A 19133-nucleotide genomic window follows, 5' to 3' on the forward strand; every position below is an offset into this window, starting at 1 on the left:
TTTGACTGCCTTTTGCTGGCTGAGAATGGTCCGGGCGTCTCTAATGCCAAGTCATGGGATGGCTGACAACAGGTGGAGGGCGTTCCTGTTGCAGGCATGCAAGCCCAGATCAAATTAGTCATAGAAGTTAAGAGAGTGTGCTCATTTCTCACCATGCTGTCTATTTCTAATGAACTATCACTATCTAAGGAGTCAGATATAAAATATATCACCCATTTAGGAGATACTCATTTTTAAAAAAATCTTTAATCCAAAAATAATTTTGCTTTAACAACTACAATTCTATATTTTATCTTAAATTATTAACACAGACATACTTCTGTTTATATTTATTTATTAATTTTTGATTATATGCTGTTATCCAATACTTACAATTGAGGGGAAGAAAGGAGAAGGGTCCAAGCTTGGCCCTCTTGGTTTTGGAGGAGTTGAAGGAACCGGTCTCCTAAGAGACTCATGGATTTGTCCTAAGCTACCTAGCTGGGGAGCAGTAGAATGGAACTTTTGTTTTTTCAAATAAAATTGGGATCACATGATAAATACATCATACGCAATTTTGGATCCTAGATTCCTTGCTTAACATTCTATCATGAAGATTGTCAACTTTAACAAATGAGATTCAGAAAATATGATTAAGTATAGAGTTTATTTGAGCACAAAGCTTGCAGATGACCACTCGAGGAATACCAGTTCTGAAATGAATGGGGTCAGTGGTCCATAGTGGAGAAGTTCTGTGTCTTACTCATTATTTTCTAAAGGTTTTATATTTTTTATTTAATCAACTTAACTTTTTAGTAGATTCTCCTGCACTGTCTAGGTAGAGAATTATATTACCCACAAATAATGATTACTTCTCTTTTAAATTAGTAATTCTAGAACATTAATAACTGAGTGAAGATAATAGACTGTTTTATTTTACTCCTGATTTTAATGGAAATGCTTTTCATACTTTCTAGAAGGCATAATGTTGGCTTTTGGTTTAAAATAGTTTAAATTACTTTGAAGAAGTAGTTTTATATTCCGGGATTTAAGCAAAAGATGAAAGGCAGTTGAATTTTATCAAATGCCAAAAAGGTAATCTTGGAGATGATTTTATGCTTTTTCACATTTGACCTGCTCATGTGTTCTATCAGGTTCACAAATTTCCCATCATTAAACCACATTTGCAATTCTGCTGTGGCAGTTCATTATCTGTTTGTTAATCAGTTGTATCTCTAAAATAGAGATATTAATCTAGAAGCCACTTGGATTTTACTTTGAACTTAAAAAATTAGCTGTACTTTAGCCATGGTCATCAAATGCGAGAATTAAAATTATTTGCTGCTCCTGAGTGTGCATAGATTGAATTCCTGGAGACCCCGTGTGCTTTCCTAAGAGTGACAGGTGCAGCTTCAGATGTGGTAAGGAGCTAGGGACACTGTTTATGTGGGCGAGTATAAGGAGAATGAAGTGCACACCATGGATTGGGTAATTGGGGCTTGTGCTCTTGTAAGAAGTTTTGGTGTTAAATCAAGGGTAGCCTCTAAAATGGCCTTCCTGTGAGATGAAAATGAAATGCCTTTTAAAAAAAATTGTAGGCTGGGTGCAGTGGCTCATGCCTGTAATCCCAGCACTATGGGAGGCTGAGGCGGGTGGATCATGAGGTCAGGAGTTCGAGACCAGCCTGGCCAAGATGGTGAAACCCCCGTCTCTACTAAAAATACAAAAATTAGCTGGGCATGGTGGTGGGCGCCTGTAATCCTAGCTACTTGGGAGGCCGAGGCAAGGAATTGCTTGAAGCCAGGAGGCGGAGGTTGCAGTGAGCTGAGATCGCGCCACTGCACTCCAGCGTGGGTGACAGAGCGAGATTCCATCTCAAAAAAAAAAAAAATTGTAAGCAAGGATACTCTCATTTCTTTATGTTCCTCCCAAGACAGGCAGAATTGGAACTCTATTATCAGATGGATAGACACCATCCTTGAGGATTCTGGACACACAGTATGGACTTCCTTTTCTGGAGTAAAACATTAAATAGCAGAGCAGCAAACCTGCAAGATGAAGCTTGGTCCAAATCATGACCTTAGAATCTAGTAATAGTCTAATTCAATGTCAAGTTTTAGTTTAGGTGAAAGCTTAAGGGGGGAAAAAGTGTTCCTAAGGCATATAGAAATGAAAAGAGAAAGCAGATATAAAACTTAAAAATTAAAGGTCAAATACTTTAACTCTGCGTTTGACAGCACCTGTGGGACTCAGAAACTGACCCAGAGATTTAGCTACTGCATGGGTGTCTTTGTGGAGAAGCTGAGGAGAATCTGAGCCCAAGATGTAAGAAGGTGGTTGGTTGCCTTCTTCACATTCTTGTTGCTTACGTGTTGCCCCTCATCCTTGTCTCCTTTTTGCCCACAATTTTGGACTTTTTTTCAACCATCTTTTCTCATCCATTCATCACTGATCCACTCAGCAGTTATTTTGAGTCACTCCCCTGTGTCAGGCATTATGCTGGCTGGTGGGGACAATGGTGAGCAAGGTCCCCACAGCAACTGCCCATCTGAGTTTACCTGAGCCAGATGATCATGCAGGTGGGGACCTGACACTTTCTGTCATTTGTGAAACAAGATGTTGCTCACTCTCTCTGTTTCTCAGTGTTTCCAACAGTTATTTATTTATGGAAGGATAGAACAAAGCATTATAAGTGAGGAATCATTTGTAAGTTGTAAATTTTGACGATGTTTTGTTAAAGGGGCTTAGTTAAAACTCTAACTTCACTCATGGGAAAGAGACTTCTGTTGCTGTTACCTGGTGTTTTCTTTTGCTAAACATTTCCATCCTCGTTCCTTCCTTTTTGGAGAAATTTATTTTTAATTTGAAGAATTCTGGAAGCAAGGGCTGCTGGGACTGAGGTAGCACATTCCAAGGAATCAGACTAGAATGTACAAGGAGAGACAGCAAATGCTCACCTTGTGACCAGTTCTATTCAGTGGGAAGACTCAGCAAAAACTTGGGAGGATGCCCAGGACATTGGTTGCTCTTGTATTGAGGAAGCCATTCAGGTTAATCTAGAGTAACTAGTTCACATAAATGCTCTACTATTGATTTATGGCTTTGTTACTCGTTTTGAAATTAAGGACTTTGGTTCATTCTGTAACTAGAATGTTTACTGCATTCCTCATTCTATATCCAGGATTTGCCATCAAAGATGTTTCAGTCAGTTAGAGAGACATGGACAAATACCTGAACTTCTCAGCATCTTTACCAAGAAATGTCTGGTAAGGACTTCCACCTCTGTGAGTGCAGTTGCACCTTTACACCAATGATTCTAAGCCTCTCCACAGCCTAATTCTCACTTCTGAGCTCCAAAGCTGCATATCGGGTTGGCTGGGTAGCATCTCCCCAAAACTCGTGTCCCAAACTGAATGCATCTTTTCCTAAACCCATTTCTCCTGAGTTCTCCATCGTAGTGAGTAGAACCTTAATCAAACCACTTGCTGAGACCAAAACCCTCACCTGATTGAGTCTGTGGTTTCTTAGCACTGAAGGCCTCACCTTCCCAGTCATGACACGCTGCTGCCTTCCATTCTAATGTTTGTCTTTCCCAATAGAGTGTATGTGTGCCCTATGAAGCCAAGGCCAGGGACTTTTGTTGGTTGTTCATTTCTCTTATTTCCAGCCCTCACACAATATTGAACATGTGACAAAGGTCTCAAGAAATACATGTTGATAGGTTGTACAAATGGGAATTCCTGCCCATTCTGCCTTCTAAATATCTCTGTAATCAGGCATACCCGGGTTTGATCCAGCTTTGCTGTTTTCTAACTGGGTGGGCCTTGATGAAGCTATTCTTAAGAAATTATTTTTAGATAATTTCTGATTTACAGATTAAGCTATTTTTAATCTCTCTATGCCTCAGCTTCTGAATCTGTAAAATGGACATAGTCATAGCACTTACTTCATGGGGTTGTGATGAGGATTAAATGAAATAGAGCATGTAAAGCTTATTACTGTGTTTGACATGTAATATCATCTGTTATTACGAAGATAAGTTTGGAGCTAGAATGTGAAAGACGTTCAGTGCAGATTAAGAGACATGTGCTTTACCTTTTAGAAGGTAAGGATCCATGAAAGGTTTCTACTGTGTGGTGGAAAAACCGTGAGCTATGGAATCAACAGACAAGTTCAAATGACAAGTCTACCATTTAATAACTGTGAGACTTTTTCACATGTTTACCTAGCCATTCTCAGCCTCAGTTTCAAAGTCTCTAAAATTTGGGGTAACAATACCTCCTACAAGGGATTGTTGTAAGGTATGAATGAGATGGTGTCAAAAACATCCAACACTACTTGTTTTTTTTAAAATTTACTTTCTTTACTTTAGTACTAAGCTCTAGGTTTCCTTGGAAACAGATCTGCGGTCAGAACCTTGTTCTTGGCTAAGCTCACTTTAACATTTTTATCAGATACTTGGAGAAGGCATAAAGCCGTATTTCCCAAATTGGCAAATGACTCAAAGCTGGGAAAATAGCTGATACAATAGGTGATGGAATGAAGGCTCAAAATGACTGTGGCAGGCTGGAATGTTGGTCCTTTACCAAATGGGACATCTAGTTAGTGGGTCAAAGCAGTTAAGAGCAGGGAGACCACTGAGGGTGATTCTGCTAGTCCTGATGATGTATGCAAAGGATCTGAATTGAGGTGGTGTCAGTGGCAATACAGGGAGTTATTAGTTGGGAAGAACCTTTTAGAAAACTTATTAGAATGTGACAGCTGATTGGATATTTGGGGGTGGGTGTGTTGATAAAGAGGACTATGGATGATTAGGAAGTTTCCTTTCTGGGTTTCTAGGGGAAAAAAGAGGTACCGGTTCATAGGAAGGAGGAAGTTAGGCAGAAGAGCTGGATTAGGGAGAGGGAGAGAGGACAGGAGTCTGGTTTTCTACATCGTGTGTTGGCTCTACTGAAGAGGAAGTTGAAAAATCAGGACTGTAGCTCCAAGGAAAGGCTGTGTCTGGAAAGAGGCATTTGGAAGTCATCCACATAGAGGTGATAGTTGAATCTGTGGGTGGGAGGGGAGGGGATGGCCAAGGAGTGGCTGGTGCTATTCAGAATCATTAGCATTGTTGGCTGTAACTTTAGATAAGCAGTGTAAACAAACCCTTGCCCAAGTGGGAACTAGTTCCACTGCCTTCCTGGTGCTAGTATGTAACTTGTTAAAGCAAAGTTCTGCAGGATGAAAAGAATCTCCTAACAATTTCAGGTTTAAAAAATTATATTTTTAATTACAGAAGTGATATACAAATACATTCTCTCTCTCTTTTTTTTTTTTTTTTTTTTTGCTACTGGTGTTTCCAGAAGAGTGAATACATTCTTGTTTCTAAATAATGTAAACTGCATATAGGTTAAAAGCCCCCTGTTAGTCCCCATCAAAGCCTACTTTCTTTTTTTTTTTTTTTTTTTTTGGAGTTATTTGGTCTGGTGGGTATTCTTATAGACTTTTTTCTATGTATTTACATAGTTACACACATGCACATGCACATAAAGATATACTTTTGTTTTCGTGTGTGGTTTTCTTTTGTTTTCTATAAATGAGTTCATACTATGTTTTGTTCGATTTATTTTTATTTTTAAGAATATGGCCAGGCATGGTGGCTTATGCTTGTAATCCCAGCACTTTGGTAGGCCAAAGTGGGAGGATTGCTTGAAGCTAGGAGTTCGAGGCCAGCATGGGCAACATAGTGAAACCCCCATCTCTCCAAAAAAAAGAAAAAGGAAAAAGAAAAATTATCTGGACATGGTGGCACACACCTATAGTCCTACCTACACGAGAGGCTGAGGTAGGAGGATTGCTTGAGCCTGGGAGTTTGAGGCTGCAGTGAGTGGTGATTGTGCCACTGCACTCCAGCCTGGACAACAGAGTGAGACCTTGTCTCAAAAAAAAAAAAAAAAAAAAAAAGTAACAATATGCTCTGAAAATCTTCAGGTAAATTTATCTAGATCTAAGTCACAAAAACAATAAAACCTGCTTTCTGGGTACAAATGTACCATATTTTGTTTTGTTTGTTTTTGAGATGGAGTTTTGCTCCTTTGCCTAGGCTGGAGTGCAGTGGCATGATCTCAGCTCACTACAACCTCCACCTCCCTGGTTCAAGCTATTCTTCTGCCTTAGCCTCCTGAGTAACTGGGATTACAGGTGCGTGCTACCACACCCGGCTAATTTTTGCATTTTTAATAAAGACAGCGTTTCACTACATTGGCCAGGCTGGTCTCGAACTCCTGACCTCAAGTGATCTGCCTGCCTCAGCCTCCAAAAGTGCTGGGATTACAAGCTTAAGCCATCATGCCTGGTGAATGTATGATGTTTTATTTAATCATTCCACTATTGATAGAATATGCCTTGTTTCCAACTTTTACATCTGTCCATCCTACAGGAATTTGCTTCTAGGAGACTGCTGAAGTGCCCCAGAGGCTGGAATACTTTGGTAAATAGTCAGCCAGGAGGTAACAAGCCATCTGGGGCAACAAGAGGCACATAAGGAGAAAGGAGGTAGAAAATGCTCCTTCTTAGTGTTGCTGCCATGGCTTAGAGGAAGGAGACCTATTCATTTTGGGGACTCAGAAGTAGATGAGAGAGGCTGAGCCGTGTGTATGGGTTTTGCAGGGTGGAACCATGGATGGGTGCTAGAGGTGAACTCTAAGTACTGCTCCTTACTGCTCTGGTCCCATCACCTCCCAGGGGTCAACTAGTAACACACCTTTGACCTCTTGTGTTAGTCTTCTCGTGAATTGCTATAAAGAAATAACTGAGGCTGGGTAATTTATTAAAAATTTAAAAAGAGATTTTAATTGGCTCACCATTCTGCAGACTGCATAGGAAACATGGTACTGGCATGTGCTTCTGGGGAGGGCCTCAGGAAGCTTACAATTATGGTGGAAGGCAAGAGGAGCCAGCATGTCACATGGCAAGAGCAGGGGCAAGAGACAGAGAAGGGGGAGGTCTCAGACTCTTAAACAACCAGATCTCATGTGAACTAATGGAGTGAGAACTCACTCATCACCAAGGGGATGGCACTAAGCCATTCATGAGGGATCCATCCCCATGATCCAAACACCTTCCACTAGGTCCCACCTCTAATATTAGAGGTCACAATTCAACATGGGATTTGGAGGGCACAAACATCCAACTATGTCATTCTGCCCTTGGCCCCCTAAATCTCATGTTCTTCTTATATTGCAAAATACAATCATCCCTTCCCAATAGTCCTTAAAGTTTTAACTCATTCCACCATCAAGTACCAATTCCTAAGTCTCATCTAAGACTCATTTCCCTCTACCCATGAGTCTATAAAATCAAAACAACTTATTTACTTCCAAGACACAATGGTGGTACAGGCATTTGGTAAACATTCCCATTCCAAAAGGGAGAAATTGGCCCAAAGAAAGGGGCAAGAAGCCCGAAGCAAATCTGAAACAAAACAGGGCAGGCATTAAACCTTAAAGCTCCAATATAATCCTTGACTCCATGTCCCACATTCAGAGCACACTGGTGCTTTATGGCTTTGCAAGGTGCAGTACCCATGGCTGCTCTCGCAGGTTGGAGTCTGCTATCTGTATCTTTTCCAGGCTTGAAGAGTGCAAGTTGCTGGTGGCTCTACCATTCTGGGGTCTGGAGGGTGGCAGCCACCTTTCCATGGCTCCACTAGGTAGCTCCACTAGGTACAAAACACTGTGGGGGCTCCCACCCCACATTTTCCTTTGGCACTGTCCTAGTAGAGTCTCTTTATGTGGGGGCTCTCCCTCCATGGCAGGCTTCTGCCTGGGCACCCAGGCTTTCTGATACATCCTCTGAAATCTAGGGGGAAGCTGCCATCCTGTGTCACACTTGCATCCTGTGCACCTGCACACTTAACACCGCATGGAAGCCACCAGGGCATATGGCAGTTTGTACTCTCAGAAGAGGCAGCCTGAGCTGTACATGGAATCTTTTGAGCCACAGCTGGAACTGGGGCAGCCGTGTCCTGAGGCTAAACATGGCAGGAGTGTCCAGGGTCTGGCCTCTGAAACCATTCTTTCCTCCTTAGCCTCTGAGCCTGCAATGGGAGGGGCAGCTTGGAAGATCTGAAATGCCTTCAAGGCCTTTTTCCTGTTGTCTAGGATATTAGTACTTGGCTCTCTTTTAGTCATGTCAATCTCTTTAGCAAGTGGTTGCTCTGCAGCCCTTTTTAATTGTTACCCTGAAAACAGGCTTTTCTTCTCTACCACATGGCCAGGCTGTGAATTTTCCAAACTTTTATACTCTGTTTCCCTTTTAAATAAGAGTTCGAACTTTAAGTCATTCCTTAGACTGATCACACTTGATTGTAGGCTGTTAGAAGCAGTCAGGCTACCTCTTGAATGCTTTGCTGCTTAAAAAATTTCTTCTGCCAAATACCCCAAGTCATCATTCTTAAGTTCAAACTTTCACAGATCCCAAGGACTTGGACACAATGGAGCCAAGTTCTTTGCTAAGGTATAACAAGGTGACCTTCACTGCAGTTCCAATAACTTCCTCATTTCCATCTGAGACCTCATCAGCCTGGACTTTGCTGCCCATATTTCTATCAGTATTTTGGTCATGACCATTTAACCAGTCTCTCTAAGAAGTAGCAAACTTTCCCCCATCTTTCTGTCTTTTTCTGAGCCCTCCAACTCTTCCAGCCTCTGCCCATTTCCCATTTCCAAAGCCACTTCCACATTTTCAGGTATTTTTATAGCAATGCCCCAGTCCCCAGTACTGATTTTCTGTGTTAGTCATTCTTGCATTGCTATAAAGAAATGCCTGAGGCTGGGTAACTTACAAAGAAAAGAGGTTTAGTTGGCTTACAGTTCTGCAGGCTGTATGAGTATGGCACTGGCATCTGCTTGGCTTTTAGTGAGGCTTTGGAGCTTTTACTTATGATGGAAGGTGAAGTGGAAGCAAGCATGTCACATTACCAAAGAGCAAGCAAGACAGAGAGAAGGGGGAGGTTCCAGATTCTTTTAAACAACCAGATCTTGTGTGAACTAACTGAGAGAGAACTCATCACCATCACTAAGGGGATGGCATTAAACCATTCATGAGGAATACACTCCATGATACAGTATCTCCCACTAGGCCCCACCTCCAACATTGGAGGTCACATTTCAACATGAGATTTGTAGGGGACAAACATCCAAACCATCTCACCTCTTATGACAGGGAAGCCACTTGCTATGCTTAACCACAACAGGACGCTGTCAGTGCCAGTAAGCTGGAAGAGCTGGAGGCTATGGGGAGGAATGGGAAAAATGAGTGTCCTAGTGAGATAAGGATTTTCACCTCTGTCCCCAGGTTCTGACCAAAGCTGGAGTGATTTATCTGGGGACGGGTGGGTTGGATTTGAAAACATTTTTCTTCTTACAAATATCCAAATGAATATATAAAATTTAAAATTCTTGTTTGTCAGCCCCTGAAAATATAACCCCAGGTGAGCAACTGTTAGCCTCTTCCTTTTTTTTTCTATGTGCATGGGATTGAGGCAGCTCCAGTGTAAAACAGAGAAAAGAAATGGAGGGACCTTCTACTCTCTCTTCTTTCCCTCTCTCCCTCTGGTTTTCCGCCTTTCATGCTCTGAATCATATCATACCAGGTGACCAAATTTGGGGCATAACCATTTTACTAAAACCCCAGGGCTCTACTCCTTCTGTTCATTTCTGCTGCCTTCACTCAGGGCTCAGAGGAGTTTCCATGTTGGGCTAACTGCAGCACCTCTTCATCAGCACTGATGTAGCAGGTGTCCTGCCCTGCCAGGTGTTCAGGAAGCTGCACCGTCCCAGGGTGAGACTGCCTGGTGCACAACTTCCCAGGCAATTGCGAATCAGTAACATGGCCGATATTTTCCAGCATGTGAACCTGGGAATTTCTTCCCTTGATACCTCTCTCCAGTTCCCCAAGTCTCACCCCTCCGGTCTCAAGTCCTCCCTGTTTGCAGCACAGGGAACTCTGGTTTATCTTTTGAGGCCTCTTGTTTCAGACACATGCCTATGGAATTCTGCCCAGGATGAGCCCATTCATTGGTCCAGTAGCCAACAGGGCAAGTCAAGCTTGGCTGGGAGTAGAAACAGGTGACACTCAAAAGATAAACTAGACTTCCCTGTGCTGCAAACAGGGAGGACTTGAGTTTGGAGGGGTAAGGCTTAGGGAAACTGGAGAGAGGTATCAAGGGAAGGAATTCCCAGCCTCACATGCTGGAAAACATCGGCCGTGTCACTAATTCACGATTGCCTGGGAAGCTGTGCATCAGGCAGTCTCACCCTGGACGGTGCAGCTTCCTCATCACCTCACAGGGCAGGGCAGTGCAGCAGCTGCATCAGTGCTGACAGAGGTGCTGCAGTTAGCCCAAAGTGGGAGAGTGGCTGCTGCCCACTTCTCCAGGTACATCTTCTGGTCCCCTTCCCTCCCCTGCACCCCAACCTTTTCACAACATAGATACTCCAGCAATAAATACCCAAAGCTTTCACTACTTGGAACTCCCTAAACTCTGTGTAGTCTTTCTATTCTGTGTCTTACCTTGGCCACTCACTCTTCCCCAACCCCTCTTTCCTCTATCCTTTATATTTTAAATTCATTTAGGCATCAGTCACTCTAGAAAGCCTTCCTTGACTAGTGTAGGCCAGATTTACCATACTGACTTTGAGTTTTCTGTTTAGTAACTGTCTCCCCAACTCCACTGTAACAATCTCAGTCACCTCTCTCTCTATCCTTGGGACTGAGCCCAGGAACTGGAATATACTAGCGACTCACTCAATTCATACTTGTTTAGCCCAACTAACCCAAGGCAGGAAGCATCTTTGTGTTCTTCCCCTAAGTTTGCCTTCCTGGCAGATCCCTAACTTCATAAGTATCATCTTGTTATTTGAGCCCCTTAGTAAGAAAACTCTCTGAGAGGCCTCACCTTGTAATAATTTGGTTGCATTCTGTTTGGATGATCTGCAGAGTGGAGCACTGTCATTTTTAGATTCCAGACAAATCTCCACTCCACCTAGGAGGAGTGAAGTGAGGAGGGAGCATATCACCATGCCAAGGTCACAGAAGGAGGCCTTGTAAGGCACTCAGGGTTTTGTGAACTGCCCCCCTCCCTGCCAAGCACAATAACCTCACCATGTATGTGATACCTTTCCTTTTGCAACACTTTGGCATATCTGATCTCATTTGACCCTTCCTACAAATCACCTTGTGAGGTAGAAAGAACTGATTATACAAAAGGAAACAAATGAGGCTGATTCATTTATTTATTCTACAAATACTTATTGGGTTCCCACCGTGTCTCAAGTGAGGCCTTGAGAATGGGCAGTAAACACAAGTAGCACATTCTCAGCTCTCAGGAAATTCTAGTTCTAGTCTGGGGAGGCAAACAAGTTACTAGTGTGCAAATAAGTAATAAATATAATTTCCAGTGGTGGTGCATGCTCAAATGACAACCAGGCAGGGTAATATTATAGAAAGTAATGGGTGTGGAGGAGGGGCTGCTTTCAAGCAGGCAAAGCCTTTCTAAGGAGATGACATTTGAGCCGAAATCGGAATGGCCTGAAGTACTTGTAGATGATCCCTGGGGGGGCTAACATTAGAAACCTGAAGAGGGCTCTTTCCCTACCATCCTTTGGGCTCCTCTCTTCCCTCTGTCCCATGTCCATGGCCACCTATGGGTTATGTTAGGGACTGGACATTGGTTTGTTTCACGGTGGGCAGGCAGGGGATGAGGTGTGATGCAGTTTCTTGGGAACTCGTACAAGCACAGCCCTGTCCCCTCAACCTGAGTATACACAGCCAGCTCAAAACTGAAGAGGGGCCACACAGGGCCAACTTGGCTTCATCTGTTGCCTTTTAGTAGTCCCTTTCTCAAGGGGTCCCTTAGGATTAAACTTCACTTTCCTCTGGGTCAACAGGAGGGGGTGTCAAGAGACACCTTCCCTAAGGCAGCTAAGAGGTTAGGATCCTGCCATCTTAGAAATTGTGGTAAAATATACATAACAAAATTGATCATCTTAACCATTTTAAAGTGTACAGGTCAGGTGGAGTGGCTCAAGCCTGTAATCGCAGCACTTTGGGAGGCTGAGGCAGGAGGATTGCTTGAGGCCAAGAGTTTAAGACCAACCTGAGCAACATAGAGAAATCCTGTCTTTAAAAAAAAAAAAAAAAATTAGCTGGGTGTGGTGGTGCATGTCTGTAGTCCCAGCTGAATGAGATCATGTCTCTAAAAAATAAAAAATAAAGTGTACAGTTCCGTGGCATTAAGTACATTTACATTGTTTTGCAATTGTTACCATTGCCTCTCTCACAAGATTTTTCATCATCCTAAGCTGAAACTCCATACCCATTAAACAATAACTTCCTGCCATTTTTAAAGCCCCGATGGATCATGGGTAATGAGGAAATTTTACAAAAGCCTCTGCTCTGATGTGTAGGATCCTCTTATGCTCAATGTAATATCTTTAGGTATACGCTGAAGACAAGAATCACCTGGCAGTGTGGTGATAGGAGAGGTGCCTGCTAAAAATGCAGATCTCTTTTCCCCTTCCTGAATCAAAATCTCTTGGGTTCCACCCTAGCAAGGATAGTTTTACCAAGTCCCCACCATGATTCTGATGCTGATGTAAATGTGAGAATCACTAGCCTCAGCCTCATGGGAAGACAAAGTGAGGAAGACTATTAGCCAGGGTGGATGGGTTAACTCACAGTATGGGGAGACAGCTGCCTGGATTTGAATCTTCACTTCACCTGTGGTTCACTGTATGACTTAATCTGTCAAAACCTCAGTTTTCTTATCTCTAAATTGGAAATTGTCATCTTGGTACATACCTCACCGCAGTTCCTGTGAAGACTGAATAAAATTATACACACGAGGTGCTCAGCACAGGTCATGGAGTCAGAGGTCTTGATATAGTATAGGGGCTGCTGTGTGCAAGGTAGTTATGTTTTCTTGAGGAGTTATGGGTAAAATGAATCAAATTTTACTACCTCAAAGCTGCTTTATCTTAGCTGTCATCCATTGCAGGAAAGCAACCAAGGTTATTAGTCAGGATAGAAAAAAAAATGCCAGTAGCAACTGAGAGGGTAGAATGCTTTTCTTGAAAAATCTTTTCAGAGTTAGATTCAGATAGAAAAGTTCCTGAGATGAATGGTTAAGTGACTAGTAGTATGCATTGCATCTATTGTTTAGCTGTGGGAAATAATAAAGAAAACGAGGGATTGGTGCCTGAACCAGATCCTTACCACTGCCCCACTGGGAACAGGGCAGTCAGGGTTGTTTAAAGACTATTCTGGATGTTTTGTGCCCCAGTCGTTTGAGAGTGAGGCTTATAGACAGTGGTCAGAAAAGCTTCCTGACTAGAACGTGGCTCAGGAGAAAGGAAGGTAATGGGAGCCTGGGAATGATAAACAGGACTCAGAAATGGGAATGAATAGGCCAGGTTCAGGGAATAGGGGGCTAGCGCACCCTAACTGAAATGAGTGTCAAACTAATGGGTTGGAGAGGCTAGTGTTGATCAGACCAGCCTCAAACCCAGCTCTATTTGGCCGAATGAAATATAAACTATCACCTAACCCTAGTAAATTTCCCTTTGATAAATATCAATTAGGCCAATTAGAGTAGTTTTATGGACCATTTTTACTTGGTACCTACCACATAGTGGGTGTTAAAAATTATTTGTTGAATGAGTGAATGAATCATACCCGTTGGTTGATCAGCTTTTGGAGGAAACATTGAGCAATCTGGAAGCCGCTATATGTCCAAGGATGTGTTTACAAATACATAAAACAGGTGAGAGTATGTGTGGCTTCGGAGGGGCAAGGCAGTATGATTTTCCATGATCGCCTCCTTTTAAAACATAACATTTAGAACTTTGGGAAAGGAATTGCTGCTATTTATGTAGGTTTTATTATGTCCAAAAATTATTCCTTTAGACAGTATAATATTATTATATATTATTATATTTAGACAATAGTACTAGGTTGAGTGTCCCTTATCTGAAATACTTGGGACCAGAAGTGTTTTGGATTTTGGACTTTTTTGTATTTTGGAATATTTGCATTATACATAATGAGCTATCTTGGGGATAAGACCTAAAACATTAAACTCATTTATGTTTCATACATACCTTATATGTATAGCTTAAAGGTAATTTTATATAATATTTAGAATAATTTTGTGCATAAAGCAAAGTTTTGACTGCAGTTTGACTCTGACCAGTCACATGATATCAGGTATGTCAGCACTCAAAAAGTTTCAGATTTTCAAACATTTTTGGATTTCAGATTTGCGAGTTAGGGATGCTTAACCTGTGTTTTGTCTAATGAAGCAGGATAAAAACAATATATAGTATAATTTCAATTCTGTAAAAGATCTATGTTCATGGGGAAAAAGCTGGGAGGAAGTTATAACAAAATTAGAACTTATTGATGGTATCATTTCTTTTGTTTATCAGCCCCTTTCTCAAATTTTCCACAGTAAATGTGTAGGTATGTATTACTTTTATAATCAGAAAAATATATAATAGCCTGTTTTATTTGTTAAAAAGTTAGTGTAGAGTATGGTACGGCACTTTGGCCAAAGCTTGCTTTGTTTTTTTAATCCCTGGTACCCATAAAATCACAACTGATATTTGAAATGATGACGTAATGATATTAAAAAATGAACTATACTTAACATGCTTCCTATGCTTAGTCAAGTCTAATACTACTCATGTTCTGTGATGCAGTTGATTTGCTGAGGAGCCCACACCATTCAGGTCCTGGGATTTGCTCCATCCCCCACACCTGCATTTCCCTTGACCTTCCTGGGTAGCCCCACCCCCAACCCCCATCAGAGCCTCAGAAATGGCCTGAAGGCTGGGAGGGGACAGGTCAGAGCCACCCTGCTTGCTTCAGATTGTGGACTCTGAAAACAGTTCTGTCTGTTTTATTTGGGGTTACACCATCCAGAAAAATAGCAAAAGTGCTGCAGTATTGGCCTGCAGATTAAGCACTTTAAAAAACAAAAACTAACCCTGAAACTTGTTTGCTTCATTTTTTTCTTTTCAATTAGGTAAGAAGTGTAAGTAATATTGTGTCCTTCCTTTGGATGATGAATTCTCAGTGGCAAATCAGAGGCACAGCTAAAATGAACTTTGAGTTTTAACGAGGTATTCTATTTGCATTTTTAATTCTATCCAAAACAAGCTATTAGAATGACATCAAGTGTTTGAGTCAGCTGTTGCCTTGGGCATCCACCCAGAATTTGATGTCATTGATGGGCATCCATGAGAAGCAGGAATAGTTTTTAAACTTGTTAACTGGAGGGCCACTGAAGGCCTTCAATTGGTGTTGGTGTTGATTATAATACAAATATAAAAAAGAAAATGGCTAGAAATCACCATCTTATATGACATAATACTTATACATTAAGTATATGGATTTAAAATGCTTCCCATCTGCTACGGCTTTGTGGGGGAATCTCTATGAGACTGGAGAGTTATTTAGTCTGGAAAATGTTTTGCTTAGTGTGATGATAAAATGTAGGCTAGACATCAGATGTAGGGGATCCAGATATGAGGGGATCATCAGACATAGGGGATCCAGACAGGAGGCAGAGCCTGAAGAAAAGAGTTGCAGAAGCTGAATCATATCTTCTTTTGATTAAATCAGGATCATTTTACTGAAAGACTGTAATGTAAGAATGTGTGAGGGTGGTAGAGTGTTTCTTTTATGTTTATCTCGTCCAGAGTGAGTTTTCATCTTACGAGTTTTTAATTCTTTTGAAGACAATTACCTTAATTAAGGAATGACTTCTAGAGTACTGGTTTGAAAAAGCATTTAGCAAATAGGTGTGCTGATGTTGACTGTCAATTAATTTAAAATTGCTTATAATACGAGCTTGAGTTAACCCAGCTAATTGGAGGCAACTGGCTGCTTGAGGAAGCTTGTATTTTTGATGCATGGATGTGTCATGCAATGTGTTCAAGGAAGCAGCTCAGGGCCCTTCCCACTTTTCTCTTCCCCCTCGTTGCCAGGCTTCCGAAATGTGCTATGCTACTTTGACCTGCTATGAGAACTTTCCTGGGCTTGCCCAGGATAGTTCTACTGCTTTTGCTGATGGAGGCTACTCTGCCCTTGCTAAACAGAAGGCAAGGCCAACCCATGACCTTCCATCCCAGCTCCAATAAGTGACTGTGATTCCCTCTCTGTTCTGTTTTCTCCTGACTTTACTTCCCAGGGCAGGTCCTCTTCTACAGACTATGACATTCTCTGGAAAGTCTTCACTGATGACTTGAGTTTATGCTGATTTCTACCATCTGTATCTGCACTTTTGGTCTGTTGCACAATTAGTATGCTTACAATTTAATGATTCTCTAACTTTTTTACTACCTGAACTATACTATTGAATATTTTGTGGTATTAGTTCATATCCTAATTTTTTTCTTTATGACTCTGTAGTAAGTAATGATTTCCTGTAGGGAGGGATTCTGTCTTTCTCTTCTTGTGAACTAATCTGGTACCTTGCACATGTGCTAAGCACCCAGTAAACTTGTAGAAATGTTAAGAATCATTTAGCTTCCTGCACTGGATAAGATAAGGAAAATGATCACATATAACATATAATAATATCCTACACAAAACAGTAAGTGTACAGATATTTGAGCCTTTATTATTATAGTGCTGAAGGGGTGATTTAAAAGAAATAGACATAGTCCTATATCAGGAAATAATATTTGATGACTCTGGAGAGGTTTTTATAATGATAAGAATAAAAGGTACTACTTTTTGAGAGACTGCTATTTCATAGGATCATTATGAGAATTACATGAGAAACTTATTTTTCCCCATTTTGCAGATATGAAAACTAAGCCTAGCAAGGTTGAGTTATTTAAGATAAACCTGTTAAGTGATGAAGGCAGGATATGAACCCAAACACTGCTATGCCAGTGCTATGAATTCATTTGAGATTTTCAGCATCAGATCTGTACAGTTGAGGAAGTTGTTTGCTGCTCAGAGGTGCCCAGCTAAAGGAGCAAGTGGGATTGAAATGCAGCCTGTGGTCCACTTGAAAAGTTGATATGTTATGGGGAGTAAAGTATACATCTATATAGCCACCACCTCAATCAAGAGAGAACATTTCCAATATTTCTCAAAAAGTGGCTTTGGGACATGTTATAGTCTTCCCAGTCCACCCTCCCCATCACCCACCCTGCTTCCAGCAGCAACTGATCCAATTCTATCTCCATAGCTTGATTTTGCATGTTTTAGAGCAGCACTGTCCTGTAGAACTTTATGCGATGATGGAAATGTTCTCTATATCTCCGCTGTCCAATATGTTTGCCACTAGCCACATGTGACTCTTGGAACACTTGAATTGTGGCTAGCACAATGGAAGAACTGAATTTAAAAATTCTACTTAATTTTACTTAATTTAAATTTAAATAACTGCGTGTGGCTAGTGCCCACAGTATTAGACAGCACAGATCTAAACTTCAAATAAATAGATGCATTCAGTGTCTGGCTTCTTTCATGCAATGTGGTGTTTTTGAGAGTCATCCATGTTTGTTATATAATGGAAATCATTCCTTTTATTGCTGAGTAGAATTTAGTTTTATGAATATACTACAAGTTATTTATTTGTCTGCTGGTAGACTTTTGGGTTGTTTTCAGTTGGGGGCTATTGTGAATAAAGTTGCTATAAACATTTTTGTATAAGTCTGCTTATGGATATATGCTTTTACTTTTCTTCTACGAATAGAATTTTTGGATTGTAAAATGTATTTAAGTATATGCTTAACTTTATAAGAAACTGCCAAAATGTTTTCCAAAGTGGCTGTACCACTTTATATTCTGACCAGCAATGTTGCAGTTGCTCTATGTTTTTACCAACTTTGGTATGGCTGGTCATTTTAATTTTAGCTAGTCTAGTGGGTGTGAAGTGCTATCTCATTGTGATTTTAATTGCTATTTCCCTTATGACTAATGATGTTGAATATCTTTTCGTGTACTTATAGACCATCTGTATTTCTTCTTCAATAAAGTGCTTATTCAAACCTTTGCCCATTTTTAAAAATAGGGTAATTTGTCTTATGATTGAGCTATAGAGGTTCTTTGTGTATTCTAGATGTAAATCCCTTGTTAGATGTTTGTATTAAAAATATTTTTTATCATTCTGTGGCTTGTCTTTTGAAGAGGAGATGTTTTTAATTTTGATTAATTCAATTTACCATTTTTTTATTCTGTGGTTTGTATTTAGCCTAGGAAGTTTCTGTTTATTCCAATATTGTAAAAATTTTCTCTTCTGCTTTCTTTTAGAAGTTTATAATTTTAGCTTTTATGTGTCGGACTATTATCTATTTTGAGTTAATTATTGTGTGTGGTGTGAGATAGGGGTTGAGGTTCATTTTTTTTCATGCAGAAGTTTTGTTGATCCATCACAATATGCTTGTAGGCTATTTGCATTTATTATTTTGTGGGAAGTGTCTGTTCAAGTCTTCTGCCCATTTCTTAAAAACTTGGGTTGTTTGCTTATTATTGAGCAGTAATAGTTTTTTTTATTGTTGTTTTGTTTCTGTTTTTGAGACAGAGTCTCACTCTGTTACCCACACTGGGGTACAGTGGCATAATCTTTGCTCACTGCAGGCTCCACCTCCTGGCTTCAAGTGATTCTCGTGCCTCAGCCTCCTGAGTAACTGGGATTACAGGTTTGCACCACCATACCCAACTAATTTTTTGTATTTTTAGTAGAGATGGGGTTTCACTATGTTGGCCAGGCTGGTCTTGAACTCCTGGCCTCAAGTGATCTGCTCATCTCATCCTCCCAAGGTGATGGGATTACAGGCATGAGCCACTGCGCCTGGCCAATAATAGTTTCTTATATGTACAAATACAAGAACCTTTTCAGATATGTGTACTGTGAATATTTTCTCCCGGTCTGTGTCTTACCTTTGTCCTTCTTAATGGTTTTTTTTTTTTTTTTTTGAAGACCAGAAGTTTTAAATTTTGATTAAGTTCATTTTATTGTGTTTTTAATTGTTAGTGCTTTTAGTGTCTTAAGAAAATTTTCTGTATCCCAAGGTCTTGAATATTTTTTCTGTTTCCTTCTAGAAATTTTTGTTGTTTTAGATTTTATATTCTGGCCTATAATCCCTTAT

General features: G+C 40.7%; 1 protein-coding gene across 25 annotated transcripts in view; it reads left to right on the forward strand.

Moving 5' to 3' along the window:
• PLCE1 (phospholipase C epsilon 1) overlaps positions 1-19133 on the forward strand; it is a 338893-nt gene that overhangs the window by 8359 nt on the left and 311401 nt on the right. For 2 of the 25 annotated variants that reach the window (XM_047425287.1, XM_047425286.1), the window contains one exon: positions 3161-3245. The exons of 20 other annotated variants lie outside the window; for them this stretch is intronic. The gene's annotated coding sequence lies outside the window, so the exon portion shown is untranslated. Of the gene's footprint in view, positions 1-3160; positions 3246-14907; positions 15147-19133 lie in introns of those variants that run through there. 3 more of the 25 variants (XM_047425295.1, XM_047425300.1, XM_047425299.1) reach the window with 2 other exon arrangements.

The sequence above is a fragment of the Homo sapiens genome, chromosome 10, assembly GCF_000001405.40.
Source record: "Homo sapiens chromosome 10, GRCh38.p14 Primary Assembly".
Lineage (NCBI taxonomy): Eukaryota > Metazoa > Chordata > Mammalia > Primates > Hominidae > Homo > Homo sapiens.